The 15,657-nt window shown below is 39.4% G+C and overlaps 1 protein-coding gene and 1 pseudogene across 2 annotated transcripts in view, besides 3 other annotated features; both read left to right on the top strand.

Annotated features, from left to right (window-relative positions):
* The window catches only part of TSG101 (tumor susceptibility 101), a 46,632-nt gene extending 31,239 nt beyond the window's left edge, over positions 1–15,393 (top strand). For both annotated transcript variants that reach the window (NM_006292.4, XM_005253108.5), the window contains 3 exons: positions 11,632–11,834; positions 13,835–14,074; positions 15,069–15,393. In NM_006292.4, the coding sequence (NP_006283.1) occupies positions 11,632–11,834; positions 13,835–14,074; positions 15,069–15,158 (533 nt within the window). In that variant the 3' untranslated portion in view covers positions 15,159–15,393. The remainder of the gene's footprint in view (positions 1–11,631; positions 11,835–13,834; positions 14,075–15,068) is intronic.
* On the top strand, positions 4,612–5,646 carry YWHABP2 (tyrosine 3-monooxygenase/tryptophan 5-monooxygenase activation protein beta pseudogene 2; annotated as a pseudogene).
* Positions 9,347–9,396: an enhancer, noted in NCBI's record as "active region_4501". NCBI's record gives its function as "activates an Ori minimal core promoter by ATAC-STARR-seq in GM12878 lymphoblastoid cells {active_cell/tissue: GM12878}" and the evidence as "EXISTENCE:reporter gene assay evidence [ECO:0000049][PMID:35858748]".
* Positions 9,347–9,566: a biological region, named in NCBI's record as "ReSE screen-validated silencer GRCh37_chr11:18507685-18507894".
* Positions 9,357–9,566: a silencer, noted in NCBI's record as "fragment chr11:18507685-18507894 (GRCh37/hg19 assembly coordinates)". NCBI's record gives its function as "represses an EF-1alpha promoter that drives an FKBP-Casp9 reporter gene in an ReSE screen in phorbol 12-myristate 13-acetate-treated (for megakaryocytic differentiation) K562 erythroleukemia cells {active_cell/tissue: K562(+PMA)}" and the evidence as "EXISTENCE:reporter gene assay evidence [ECO:0000049][PMID:32094911]".

The following is a 15,657-nucleotide window of genomic DNA, read 5'->3' as shown; positions in this document are numbered from 1 at the left end:
AACAAACCAATTCATGTAGCAAAAAAAAAAAAAAAAACCTAACTGGTAGTATGCATTGAAACTTAACACAAAGATTCTTTTTCCTGTTACTGTAGGAGCAAAACATAAACTGACTATACCTATCTTAATCAGTTTCACATACAAGATCCCTGAAAAATAGTGGGTATGGATGGGCACCAGGTGAGCCACCATGAAGTTTCTCTACCACAACCACCACCCCTGCCCCTGGTAAAAAAAGAGGAAGTTAAAAGGCTTTGGTGATTCCTTACTCCAGTCTCAGCAGTGGTGAAAGTTCTCTTTTGAAGGTTGACTTATTTTAAAAAGCTATATAGATGATTGTAGTTGATTTATAGCTCTGAATCCTAGGCTTTAGGCCTTTAACATATACACAGTTTGACCTTTCAGTAGTTGCAGTTTAATAATAGTAAAATTGAAGAGTAGGTGTTTATTCCCGGTTAAAGCCAATACCTACCACAGAATTTTTCTTGGTAAAACTTCATAAATACTGTATATTTCAACCTCTGAGTTTTAAAAATGTCATTTTAAGATTTTGTTCCTAAAAATCAAATAAACAAGGATCAGAAACAGTAAGTTTGGAAGGGTGCTATTAACAGAGATTCAGGGACCAGTTTTACCTTTGTTAAAGTGTTGTTTAAAAATGTGGGAGTGGAAAACCCTGAAAATGCTGCAGCTGAATGATGTGTTTCTGTAGTTTCCACTCTTTAGTCCATACTGAATATTTAGATAAAGAAAGGAAAAGGTGAAGAAAAATAAGAGAGCTTACCTGTTAATATTTCTTTGAGGACAGAAGCTAGTAAACATGACAAGTTTTTCTTGACTGTCTTATCCAATGCTGTTCTTCCCTCTGGCCATCCTAGATTAAGTGTTTGGCCTACAGAAACTGTACTTTCAGGATATGGCACCCAAGGCACCCAGCCCATGTGGGTTTACTAGTGCACGCTTGCTTGTGTGCAGGTTTGGGTGCCTCTTCCCCACACCTTTCACAGACTTCCTTTGGGAATAACTGCCTCATCTTCAGGATAAGTAGCGTTTTCTTCCAATCCTGGACAGTCAGTGAGTCATGAGTGAAATTTAAATGCTGAGAGTTTAGTCTGCTAAATGTTAAATCCTTTTCTGCCAAAGCAATAATGATAACAGAAATAATGATAACAGAAATTCAAAGCAATAATGATAGATTTGAAAGCTTTTAAAAAAGCTATTGTGTAAGTTAACAAATGATTTTTATTTTGTTAGTAAAGGAAAGGTAGGAGAAGCTGATTCATTTGGCTTCCTGTCGTTATTCCTATAGAATACCTCTAACATAATAGATTCTTAAATTAGTCTTTTCACAAAACGTTAATTTTAATGGAATTACTTTGATTCTGATTCATTTTTTTAAGAATAGAATTTTAACTCTCCTTCAGATTTATTGGCTTTTGTGCTTATGCCTACCAGGTAGCATCTTTCATCTTTTATGACTTACTATGATAGCTGAATGATTTTGTCACACTGTTTCTTTTTTGGAGTAGTTATTATTTTGCTGTCTCATTTTAGCAAGACTTATACCTACTTACCTTCACTTTTGAAAACTTTAATTTTTATGTAAATGAATTTAAACTTTTTTTGTGGTGTGTGTTTATTTTCAAGAAGTGTAAACCTGCTGATAGCTTTCTTTAAATTTTTTCTTATTGATTGTGTTGATAGAAACTTTCTAGAGCTCAAGTAAAGCGCATTTTTCTGAGTGTTTAAAAGATAAATTGAGGCCCCCTAATTTCTTTGGAAGAAAAGCTCCATAGCCTGCACAAAGCCTGTAAGTAGTATTAGAAGCTTACATATTCATACACTATAAATAAAAAGGACTTTTGTAAGCCATGTAATGGATTTGCAGTGTTTGCACTTAATAGCACAGATCAGAACTCCTTTGCTCATACAGTTGTCTGAAATGTTCTTCCTTCTTCAGAGATAGACCTGTTTTTTGTTTTTTATTATGAAAGAAAAATAATCCTCATATGTTCTCGGTCTAGTTTCTAAATAGATGGTCAGTAAGCTACTGTGTGGGATTACTTGGGCTCCATAGTTTGCTGTGTAGCACAGATGCCAGACCTAGGACCATTATGTGGGCCTGAGCAAGTAACATCCAGGAGTAAAAATGCTGGGCAGGTAGTTTACTTTTGCTGATTAAGGGTGAGGTCAGAAAAATTATCGTTGAGTTATAGTTTACTTTGGGCTTATGGATTCTTTCTCTAATATAAAATAGCTTCATTTGAGTTCCAGGAAGTAGTGATCGTTTGTAAATACTCTTAGGAGATAAATGAAACCGGGTGTCTTAAGTGTTTAAATAGTGGCTTTAAATCAGGTAGTGTATACTAGTGCACTGTGAATATACTTGCATAAATTATTCAATGAATTTTTGGGTCCATTGAGTGTAGAGTGTTGGTTTCCTAATACTAGAAAAATTATATCTTATTTCCTAAGGATTAAGTTTGGAGATCAGATCCTACCTGACATTTAAAGGAAGTTTTGCTTAAGATTGTTACTCAAAGTCTGTTAGCTCTTCAACTGCTAATCTGGAATTGTAGAAGGGCACTTTTGAAATCTGACTCTGCTTGAGTAAAAAGGTCAGTGTGTTGGGGACTTGGGGTATGGCAGTTTGCCAAAAACTCTTCTTATTCTTGTTATAGCAGGTATAGAGAATATTCAAATTTCTTCTAAGATGTTTGAGAAGAAAGTTTGGTTTGGTAAGTGTTCACAAAGTAGATGAGAATCTTCCACCAAATCTTTTTTCTTATTTGTTTGCATAAACATTATCTTAAAGTGGCATGGTTCATCGAATTTTGAACTTTGATGAGTTTTTCTTTTACTTCTTTGAAAAACTCTGGGTTTTTCTTTTTTTACTTTCTTATTTCAGATCTTAGTTATAATTCCTTTTTTTTTTTTTACAAAGTAGTTCGATTTTTTAAAGTTTAGATATACTTCACAGTGAAGTCTATGTGTGATAGAGATAAGACTAGGTCTAATCTTGGTGTTTGTAACTTCCTCAGGTGAACTGTGACCTTTATAGGCCAAGCGACTGCTGCCTCGGCTTGGTTCTTATTTTGAGGGTTAATGACTTTGGCTGGAAAGTCTTGGCAAGGACTTATTTGGTGGTATTATGGTAGCATTTGCCTGAACATATTCTATAAAGAGAAACAGAATGTAAATTCCAGGATTTAAATGTGTGTTTTTAAAAATAAGGATTTAAAAATTTAGCATCAGTATAATTTGACCCATTAGACCAGATATAATAGCTTTAACAAAGTATGTTGATGTGTTTATGTGTGAAAAATTCACTAACTATAAAAAGACTCTTAAGTTTTCATTAGTTCTGATAACTTCTGTGCCAATGAATGGAATACCACCACTGTTGCATGTGATTGAATGCTTAATTATAGACATATCATTTAGGTACGTAATCTATGGGAGAAGGATTTTCCTTCCTGTCTCACAAGAACCATCATAATATTTCATATAGATTATAAGACAGGTTCTTCTAGAAAGGTTTTAAAATTCCTTTTGCTAATGCAGCCTTACTATAAACTGGGGACTTAATGAAATCTTCAATAGTCATCATATCATGAATCATCCTTTGGATATGAAATTCTAAACCAAACTCTTGTAGAAATTGGCTCTTTTTCACTTTCTTTAAAGGACTTTTTAAGTACAGTATAAGAAATTAGAGATTTTTATTCGGTCTAAATTCTGTCCAGATGACTGAACAGCTAAGACTTTAATTCATATTAAGTCTGTGAAAGAGAGCTCACTCTCTGACGTATTTTAATCTGTATGTTCAGTGAGTGTGGAAAGATGTGTTGCCTTTTTATATGGCCTCATTTGAAGTAGACCGACTTATTCTACAAATTGCCATGAAGAGCAAGTTCTTGATTAGGTAAGAAAATACTCTTTAGTTAAGGACCTGTAAAGTTTGGAAGTTCACAAAACCACCTGCACTTCTGACACTCATTGCAAGTTCATGGTTTCCCAAGGCCACCCTAAAGTTCTATAATTATCTAGAAGGACTTTAAAAGCTCACTGAAAGCTATTATACTCACAGTTATGACTTATGGCAAAAGATACAGATTAAAATAGGCTGAGGAAAGACACGTGGGCAACCCAGAAAGTTTCAAGTGCAAAGCTTCTAGTTGTCTTCTCCCAGTGGAGTCATAGGCAGTGCTGACTTTTCCCAGTAACAGTATGTATCATTATGCATGGAGTATTACCCACCAAGGTAGCTCACCTGAGCCTTGGGTCTAGAGTTTTTATCAGGACTTGGTCATATAGACACCATTGACTGCCTGTGAGGCTGACCTTTAGTCTCCAGCTCCTCCAGAGGTTGAGCTGTTACCTATCACTGCATGGCCCAGACCCCCCCATAAATCACACTGTTAGACTGTCTGGTGTAGATAAAGAACACTCTAATTAGTCAGGAAGTTCTGAGGGCTTAGACATCACCTCCAGGAGCCAAGGGCAAAGGCGTGGCCTCTCTGGGTAAAGTTAATTCTTTACTACACAGAACCAAGCTGTAAGGCATTTTGCCTTATTTTGCTTGAACTTTAAAAATATCCGAATACAGGAGCTGCTGCTACCGTCGCTGCAGCCACGGCAGGCACCGCCACCGCTGCCAGAGGAGTGGGCTTGGGAAAGAAGTGGTCACCTCACTTGGAGCTTTGCTCAGAAGCATCCTCGTCCCCTGCAGCCCTCCCACGGGAACGACTGGATAAAAGTGAGCTGGTACAGAAAGCCAACTCACTGAGCAGGCTGAGCGCTATGATGATATGGCTGTAGTCACGAAGGCAGTCACAGAACGAGGCATGAATACTCCAACGAAGAGAGAAATCTGCTCTCTGTTGCCTACAAGAACATGGTTGGTGCCCGCTGCTTTCCTGGCATGTCTTCTCCAGCATTGAGCAGAAAACAGAGGAATGAGAAACAGCAGCAGATGGGGAGAGAGTAGCATGAGAAGATAGAGGCAGAACTGCAGGACATCTGCAATGACGTTCTGGAGCTGTTGGACAAATATCTTGTTCTCAATTCTATACAACCATTTTCTATTTGAAAATGAAAGGAGATTATTTTAGGTATTTTTCTGAAGTGGCATCTGGAGACAACAAACAAACCACTGTGTGGAATTCCCAGCAGGCTTACCAGGAAGCATTTGAAATTAGTAAGAAAGAAGAAATGCAGCCTACACATCCAGTTTGACTTGGTCTGGCACTTAATTTCTCAGTCTTTTACTATGAGATTCTAAACTCTACTGAAAAGGCCTGCAGCCTGGCAAAAACAGTATTTGATGAAGCAATTACTGAATTGGATACACTGAATGAAGAGTCTTATAAAGACAGCACTCTGATCATGCAATTACTTGGGACAGTGTTACTCTGTGGACATCGGAAAACCAGGAAGATGAAGGAGATGCTGGGGAGGGAGAGAAGTAATGTTTCTTGTGCTTTGTAATCTGTTCAATGTCACTCTGTACCCTCCACGTATATCCCTTGTGTGGTAAAAAATAATTGTATGTTGACTTTGGATTTTTCACAGCCTCAGCCTAGCAAAAATGGTTCATGGGATAAACAGCTGGTGTTTGTATTCTAAAACTCAGATTGGTCACATAAATGCCACGGCATTCTGAAGTTTTGATTTTGATTAACATTGACAGGATTACTGTGTGTTTAATTTTTTTTAATTCAACACTGTGATTATGGGGTTTTGTAATTTAGCAAAACTCTTACTTGTAGAAAAAATAGACCTGAATTATGTGTAACTTTTTGGAAAGTTTAATCTGATACCAGAATCATTGAAATACAATTCCATTGTAAAGTTGTACAGAAGGTTATAGAGATTATATTATGATGCTAGAACCTGGAGTGAGACACACATCATTTGGCATTTGAGTTTAATGGTAATTCATAGTAATGCTGCCTGTTGTTTGGCACTTAAAGACACTTGACCTGTTTGGGCTGTTGCCACTCAAAAGTTCATGACCACAGATGTCCACAGTGTCTTCCTCTGAAGAAACTCGAATCCTGAAATTTAAATTCTTTGTGGCAGATAACTGGCTTATGACACCTTGAAAAGTCCAAGTGCTCATATAACACACCTGACTAAATCCCCTTTTCTACTGCAGTGTGTTCACTTTGTTACCAATTTGCAACTTGTGCTTCAATAATGGAATCTATTTTCATTGTTAACACTGAGCTAAAGAAAAGCCATGTGTTTTATGAATGACCTTATCTGTTTCCTGGATAATACCTTTAAGAATAATCTTCTGAGTCAGGCATGGTGGTGTAGGCATATAGTCCCAACTACTTGGGAGGCCGAGGCAGGAGGATCGCCTGAGCGTAGGAGTTTAAGGCTGCAGTGCCCTGTGGTTGCACCTGTGAAATAACCGCACTCCAGCCTGGACAACGTAGGGAGACCTCATCTCCAAAAAAAAAAAAAAATAGAATGATGTTCTGTAGAGATTGCCTTTCACTTGAGGAGTACTGAATTTCCTGGCTTGGGGCTTTTAAATTTTGAAATCAAAACATTCTTTCCCACCATCCTTTTTTTTTTTTGAGATGGAGTCTTGCTGTGTTGTCAGGCTGGAGTGCAGTGGCATGATCTCGGCTCACTGCAACCTCCGCCTCCCGGGTTCCAGCGATTCTCCTGTCTCAGCCTCCCAAGTAGCTGGGACTACAGGCACGCACCACCACGCCCAGCTAATTTTTGTATTTTTAGTAGAGATGGGTTTTCACCATGTTGATCTCGATCTCTGGACCTCATGATCCACCCGCCTTGGCCTCCCAAAGTGCTGGAATTGCAGGTGTGAGCCACTGCGCCCGGCCCCCCATCATCCTTTTTGACTGTTGACTTTGGTTTTCCCTTCCCTCCTCTCTAAATTTCTGTCCTTCTGCTTCCTTCCTTTTTTTGCTTTTTGAATTCTATCTTTACCTGTCTTTTGTTCACTTTTTAATGCTGTATATGGGCAGGGGTGAGAGACATTAGTGAGCAACTTGGTGAGCAAGCCTGGCTTTAAAGACTTGAGAAGAACTTCTAGCACCAGAGCTCTGTCTTCCTCCAGTTCTCAACACGGTGTTGCTCTTTAGTCATACCAGGATCTGAATCAAAAAAGTATTTTTAAATATCCCTGACTTCTCCCTGTATTGAGGCTGGCCCTGATCATGCTTTTTAGTGCCCCTCACCAGGTCTCCCAAGTGCACTTATCCAGCTCAACTCTCAGATGTGTTTTAACGAGACCCTATATTCAGGGAAGTTGTGTGGACACTGCAGTGGAGAGAATTGATAATAGGCCTATCAGTCTCACAATATCACCCCTCTACCTTTAACATTCCATCTAGCTGTAGAGTCCATCTGTTTGTCCATCTGCTGAAATGAGAAAAGAAAACCTCATGCACTGATTTAAAACAAACCAAAAAAAGAAAAAAAACAAAAATCCCTCCTTTCTAACTGAACAAAAATGTGCAGTTAATAGTTGGCCCTTGAAAATGCAGTAGTGAATGTGGAGCTAAGCCTGTTTGTATATCTGGTAGCTCTTTTCTTGCTTTGTTTTTCCTTAACCAGTATTCTGCCTAATGTTTTCTTCTGTGATGGTTATATTGTCTAGCAAGCACACCTGTGGTTGTGAAAATAGTATAGCAAAAAAGAAAAATCCTGTTACTGATGTACTAGGTTTGTGTATGTCTTTTAAACAGTTCCAGTTTCACCTTACACAGAATAATCAGGAAAAGTGTAAAACTTCAAAAGTGAAATAAAAATTTTATCAGTTAAAAACAAAAAATACCCAAATACAAAAAAAAAAGATCTACCAAAAGCTTCCTGCCTAATACTGTAATTTGAAGATGAGATGGGCAACATGGAGCAATGGAAAAGGAGGATGTATGCTCACTGAAGCATGAGCTGGGCCACCACTCCTGTTACAAACCAGGAATTATAGCAGATTCCTATACTTTGAGGTTTTTTTGTTTCTTTTGTTTTTGTTTTTTGCAATAGCAAATAGGTGGGATGCCAGGCACAGTGGCTCATGCCTGTAATCCCAGCACTCCAGGAGGCTGAGGAAGGAGGATAGCTTGAGCCTGGAATTTGAGACCAGCCTGAGCAACATAGTGAGACTACCTCTCTACTAGAAAAAAAATTTTAATGGTTACAGAAACGATCTAATGTTTTTTCTTCCTTGTGTTAAGGTGTTTTAGTAAAGTTTTCTCAAATTATATTGCATTTTACATTTTTTCTAATCCTTTGAATTTGTTGTGAGAGACCAAAATTATAAATCAGTTTTCCCCTCCCTGCCAAAAATGGAAACCAAAGCAAGTCCAGGAGATTGAATTATGGTAATTATGGTAGTATTCTTTGTTAAAGAATTTGGATGTTCCCTTGGGAACAGAAATTTTTTTTTCTTTTTTTTTTTTATTATACTTTAAGTTTTAGGGTACATGTGCATAACATGCAGGTTAGTTACATATGTATACATGTGCCATGTTGTTGTGCTGCACCTACTAACTCGTCATTTAACATTAGGTATATCTCCTAATGCTATCCCTCCCCCCACCCCACAACAGGTCCCGATGTGTGATGTTCCCCTTCCTGTGTCCATGTGTTCTCATTGTTCAGTTCCCACCTATGAGTGAGAACATGCAGTGTTTGGTTTTTTTGTCCTTGTGATAGTTTGCTGAGAATGATGGTTTCCAGCTTCATCCATGTCCCTACAAAGGACATGAACTCATCATTTTTTATGGCTGCATAGTATTCCATGGTGTATATGTGCCACATTTTCTTAATCCAGTCTATCATTGTTGGACATTTGGGTTGGTTCCAAGTCTTTGCTATTGTGAACAGTGCTGCAATAAACATATGTGTGCATGTGTCTTTATAGCAGCATGATTTATAATCCTTTGGGTATATACCCAGTAATGGGATGGCTGGGTCAAATGGTATTTCTAGTTCTAGATCCCTGAGGAATCGCCACACTGACTTCCACAATGGTTGAACTAGTTTACAGTCCCACCAACAGTGTAAAAGTGTTCCTATTTCTCCACATCCTCTCCAGCACCTGTTGTTTCCTGACTTTTTAATGATCACCATTCTAACTGGTGTGAGATGGTATCTCATTGTGGTTTTGATTTGCATTTCTCTGATGGCCAGTGATGATGAGCATTTTTTCATGTGTCTTTTGGCTGCATAAGAAATTTTTAAAGAATTTAACTGCCGAAGGGGCTTAGCCCTGAATTATGGTGGCTGGTTGGGCAGAATTGTTTGAATGAAGTGAAGCAGTGATAGTGTTGATGATGCAGGATTTTCTTCTCAGTCACTCTGCAAGCCAGGGACCTCTGACGAGCGACACCCTGCCTGGGCCTCCCTCAGCCATGCTACCTGCTGCCAGAGACAGCCCTCCCATTCGGCCCACTTGGGCCGAGTCTGGCTTACCCGCTGGTTCCCGAGTTCTTGTCCTGTGCCCACAAAGAATGGGGATGCACTGACAATCAAGAGTGAGCAAGACAGGGAGTTTTATTGACTGATGAAAGAGCTTTCACTGGAGAGGGGATGCAGGGGTGGTTCCCCTACCCAAAGGTGGGAAAGTCCCCTCTAAGTGGCTGAGTCCTGCGGCTTCTTACAGGCTCAGAATAGGGGAAGGGCAGGCCATAGGTAGTATTGGAAAAGGCAACATTTGATTGGTTAAAAGGCATTATTGAGGAAGAATCAATGGGAAAGGGTGGGCAAACAGGAATAGAAGTTCTCACTCTAGGTCAGGGGTTTCATCCGGGACCAGCAGTCCAATCTTTCAGCCTTCAGGCTGTTTTTGGCTTGAAGGTGGCGTTTCACCGGGGACCCACCCCATCTGCCTCAGCATTTGGCTGCCTCCTGTTGCTGTTAATGAAATCCATAATTTTAAATATTTTACTCTATTAATGACTTTTCAGCACTGTTTCCAACCACATGCCTTCAAAGCAGTAGAGCTTCAGCAGTTCATTTTTCTGATTTTCAGGTAGAGATATTGATGAGTTCTTTCATTTGGTTTAATACCACCATACCATTTATTTTGGAGAGCGCTCATATATTTATAAACAATTTTAATAATTACCTTCTTCTACATTGCAGCAGAAGACAAGAGAAGGGAAGTTTCCAAAAAAGCACATTCTAAGGACTTCTAACCATCTGAGGCCTTTTCTCTAGGACTCCTAGAAGATAACCAATTCTGTTGATTTCAGGAGATCATTCAGCAACAGTTTGCCACCCTTAACATTTAGTATTTAGGCTGCATAATAAGGATTATAGAGACCTTTCCTTCAGAAAATAGGTTATTAAACTAATAAATATAGTGATAACTGTTAAGAGAGAGCAGATTCTAGTTGTTGTGCTGACGTTTTGGGAATTATGGTTAATGGAGGAAAGATCATTGGCAAAGATTAGGTTTCACCATAATTTAATGGTAGAGAGAAGATGGGATCTGATGTTCGAGAGCATTAAACTTTTTTGTTAGTTTAGAATGGCTTAGAGTTTGTTGACAGAGTTTGTTGATGGTTTTGGTAAAAAGCAGGATCATCTAACAGGTAATTAGAAGACCCAGGTAATTCACAAGGCCCTTCAGGAAGTTTGCTTCCCAGCTACTCGGGAGGCTGAGGCAGGAGAATCGCTTGAACTCAGGAGGCAGAGGTTGCAGTGAGCCGAGATCATGCGACTGCACTCCAGCCTGGGTGACAGAGTGAGACTCCATCTCAAAAAAAAAAAAAAAAAAAAAGGCGGCAATTAAGGTTAAATATACTTAACGTCCTCACGTAGTATTTTATAATCAAACATAATTAAAAGTCAAAATGCCATTTACACATTTGCTGATTTGGGACAATAACTGAAGAACACTGATAGTCATAAAGAATACCCAAACTTATATTAGAAAGGGGACCTTTTTGAAGAAAATATCCAGAGGATGTTTATTTGATCTGAAATATGCATGGAAATGATATAATATACTGATTAGGAAGGGACATTTGGAAGAGAATAGTAAAGAATCTGGGAATAAACAGTTTATCAGCTGTTGAATTTTTTGGATGTCATTCTTTTTTGTTCATCTGTTCTGTCCTGTTGGTAAAGGGTGAAGTAGTAAAAGTCTTACAGAGGGAAGCCTTATTAACCTGTACATTCGTTTAGGGAAACTGCCCATTCTCAGTCCTCTCACTGGCCTCTACAGTGGGCACTTGTCTCCTTCAGCTTAGCAGCGAAGCCTGATGTTGGACTTGGCCTGCACCAAATGTTTTTCCTTAGTGGAAATTATTGTGCCATTTGTTGGTTATTTAGGAATAATTGTAATTGGTAGGGACATAGCCTCTGTCTCATTGAGAAAATAACTAATTGTAGCTAATTGTTTGGGCTATGAATAGGGAAACTGGGTTTAACATGGATTAATAGTAATCTCTTGTAGGGCAAGTATTTCTGAATCAACTCAGATTTTTACATTATTTCTCATGAAACTGGTAACATAATTTTTTTCTTTCCTCACATTTTGAAAGTGTCGGTTCATATTGCCCCCTTTTCTGAAGGTTCCTGTGAGACAAATAGAAGGAACTTGGGAAGTAAGCAAGTGTTTTTTGCCTCTGTTTCCTGCAGGTCCCAGTAGGGATGGCACAATCAGCGAGGACACCATCCGAGCCTCTCTCATCTCTGCGGTCAGTGACAAACTGAGATGGCGGATGAAGGAGGAAATGGATCGTGCCCAGGCAGAGCTCAATGCCTTGAAACGAACAGAAGAAGACCTGAAAAAGGGTCACCAGAAACTGGAAGAGATGGTTACCCGTTTAGATCAAGAAGTAGTAAGTGACTCATTAAAGACTTAAAATTTTTGGATTGAATTGTAGCCATGGCAGAGTGTTCTATATGTTCCCTGGATGTTGTGGGCATAGTAGGAGTTCAGAAAATTATAGGCATCTTTAAACATTTGAATGTAATTTTTTATACCTTTGTTTACAGTGGAGCCTATGTTTGGCATTTGGTCTTAGATTGGGAGGGGTATAATATTTAGACCATTTTGTTTGCACCTTGTATTAGTTCGTTTTCACACTGCTGATAAAGACATATCCGAGACTTGAGAGAAAAAGAGGTTTAATTGGACTTACAGTTCCACATGGCTGGGGAGACCTCAGAATCATGGTGGGAGGCAAAAGGCACTCCTTTTTTTTTTTTTTTTTTTTGAGAGTTTCACTCTTGCGCTCAGGCTGGAGTGAAGTGGTGCAATCTTGGCTCACTGCAACCTCCACCCTCCAGGTTCAAGCGATTCTCCTGACTCAGCCTCCTGAGTAGCTGGGATTACAGGTGCCTGCCACCATGCTTGGCTAATTTTTGTATTTTTTAGTAGAGACGGGGTATCACCATGTTGGCCAGGCTCGTCCCGAACTCCTGATCTCAGGTGATCCACCCACCTTGGCCTCCCAAAGTGTTGGGATTACAGGAGTGAGCCACTGTGCCCAGCCAAAAGGCACTTCTTACATGGTGGTGGCAAGAGGAAATGAGGAGGAAGCAAAAGCTGGAACCCCTGATAAACCCATCAGATCTTGTGAGACTTACTATCACGAGAATAGAAAGACCGGCTCCCATGATTCAATTACCACCCCTGCGTGCCATCCCTCCCCACCCCCTGCTACACACACACACACACGCACACAGGTCCCTTTCTGTGAGATACAATTCAAGTTGAGATTTGGGTGGGGACACAGCCAAACCTTATCACACCTTTGCCCTAGGAAATGTTTTAGGCAAAGGATGTTTTAACCCAAAGGAGGACTGTTTGAGTGCTTGATGTTGCCAGTTACTAGGAAATAAGTTTAGAGAGTTCTAAGCCATGATAAAGATCTGCACATCTTAGGAGCAGACTTAAAAGGACAGTACTATTTTATTGTTTCCAAAGGTTGTGTGAGCCATTTTTTAAAAGTATGTTCAGGGAACTTTCTCAATAATCCAGAGATACTTGGTTGGCTAAAGAGCTACATATAAACATAGCATATGCAACCTTCAGCTCTTTAAGCTTTCTCATAACAGACAGCTATGCCTTGGACAGTCCGTGTGTAAGTCAGCCCTATGGCTTTGCTTAATGATGATAAAGTGGAAGCATCAGCATAATTGAAGTGCCAATTTCACGCTCCATTTTCATCCCCATGAGGGAGAATTTATTCCAGTAAATGTGTGTTTTTGATGGAATAGTAAAGAATTCTTAGAAGGTTGAGGGCTTTGTGGAAAGTGATTTGTATGTACCCATTAGCCTTACAAAGTGGTTCTAGATTGTAAAATGAGCCTCGAAGTAGCCAATTTTTAGAATTCAGGAAAGTGACACCAATACAACTCAGAGCCTACAACCAGCACCTGCGTGTGATACTTTGTGATTAGAATGCAGACATTTGGGCCTCTATGCATTGAATCCTCTTCATAGACTGAGGAAAGTTACTCTCCTATGGCAGGTGCCCATTTGTTGGGAAGAAAAACCTCTTATGATTTTCTATGTAAAGGAACCTTCTGCTGGAAAGTATCTTGTCTGATGGCTTAGTTTGCAGTATCATTTGTCGCTGACAGGTGACAAGCTTGTTACTGTCACTGAAAGTGCTGTCACCTCAGGATATCTCCATCATTACTCTATTTCACTCAGCATAGTAGATCACATCTTTTCCTCTACCTTTGACCAGGGTGTTATTTGAAACATTATTCTCATCCATGAGTTGTTTAAACATGGTTGTTAGCCTGTCTTTTCCTGTGAAGTGTTGTAGGTGTCTGACAAGTGGATAATTATGTACAGTTATTAATGCTTGGACTGTTCTGTTTTCAGGCCGAGGTTGATAAAAACATAGAACTTTTGAAAAAGAAGGATGAAGAACTCAGTTCTGCTCTGGAAAAAATGGAAAATCAGTCTGAAAACAATGATATCGATGAAGTTATCATTCCCACAGCTCCCTTATACAAACAGATCCTGAATCTGTATGCAGAAGAAAACGCTATTGAAGACACTATCTTTTACTTGGGAGAAGCCTTGAGAAGGGGCGTGATAGACCTGGATGTCTTCCTGAAGGTATTTCTTCATTTTACGTTCCAAGATTTTTTAACTTGGGTTGTAGAGGCACTGACCTTGCAAACCACAAACCAAGAGAGTTTCTTTGTAGTATGGATTAAGATTCTTTATCTTCCCAAAAAACACTAAATGAGATGTAGGGTTTTGCACCATCTTTTTACCTACAGAGTACTGAGGATTGGTCTGAGCAGGGGAAGAGAAGTGGGCTGGTGGCTGCAGTTCTCTGCCCACAGGCAGCATTAAGATGAGTGTAACTCTTCTGTGCCTGGGTGGATCAGGAGGTACGATCAGATTTCCATTGGTTCTTTGAGGTCATACCACCTAAATTGAGATCACTGATTGTGCCACCTCCATTTTTTATCTGTTAATTTTCTTAGAGTTATATAACTTTAGACCAGTTTTCCCACATCAAAGTATCAGGCTGCCCTTTCAAGCCCTCTTGTATGAAAGTTGTCTCAAGCTTAATGCTGTTGTACAGAGGAAAATCTAGTAAGCGAAGTTTGGCTACTGCTGTCTCTTGGGTCATGGAGAACATGGTTTTAGGGATAATAGCAGCCACCCTTGGGATATCTGATCCAGCTGTAGCTGGAGCCTGGTCAGGTCATGTGCTGATCTTGCCTATCTCCTCTCACTGTGGGGGAATGGCCAAACCATGTGCCTCAGAAGTGGTACAACCACATGAATGGCTGGATATAAACCAGAGACCCAAGAGAGGACTCTTTTTCTGTACAATCTCTTGCTTGAGTGGCATGGCTTAGGAAAAGAAAGTGTAGGTCAAACTCCTGAGCCAGATCCTGCAATGTAATGCTTTCCCTGTTGAGTAAGCCTTTATAATATGCAGCTTAAAAGCCACATATAATGAGGTATTCATTCCAAAGGTTGGCAGGTCATGAGTTAGGGTTCTTAGATCCCATCTAGGTTACAAATTGTCTATTTTATGCCTGGGCCTAAATCAAAGCCATTCTAAACTATTCAAACTTTTCTCCCCTCCCAGCATGTACGTCTTCTGTCCCGTAAACAGTTCCAGCTGAGGGCACTAATGCAAAAAGCAAGAAAGACTGCCGGTCTCAGTGACCTCTACTGACTTCTCTGATACCAGCTGGAGGTTGAGCTCTTCTTAAAGTATTCTTCTCTTCCTTTTATCAGTAGGTGCCCAGAATAAGTTATTGCAGTTTATCATTCAAGTGTAAAATATTTTGAATCAATAATATATTTTCTGTTTTCTTTTGGTAAAGACTGGCTTTTATTAATGCACTTTCTATCCTCTGTAAACTTTTTGTGCTGAATGTTGGGACTGCTAAATAAAATTTGTTGCATAATTTTTCTCTCCTTTATTGGACTTTAGGAAAGATCCATGAAACCTTAGTAAGCCCAACTTCTCATTTAGCAAAAAAGGCATAAAATCCATCTTAAGTTGAAATTTAGTATTATTCTACAGCATATAAAGTGAATTAACATGGGGATATACCAAATAGAAATCTAAATTTTGAAATATTTGAAATTGAAGCATTTGAGTAACTTATCTGTGAAAGGTCCAAGGAGATGCTCTCCTACCAACCCTACTAAATTTGTTTCCTTTCTAG

The sequence above is a fragment of the Homo sapiens genome, chromosome 11 (genome assembly GCF_000001405.40).
Source record: "Homo sapiens chromosome 11, GRCh38.p14 Primary Assembly".
Taxonomy (NCBI): Eukaryota; Metazoa; Chordata; class Mammalia; order Primates; family Hominidae; genus Homo; species Homo sapiens.
This window is presented reverse-complemented; position numbering and strand designations above follow the sequence as displayed.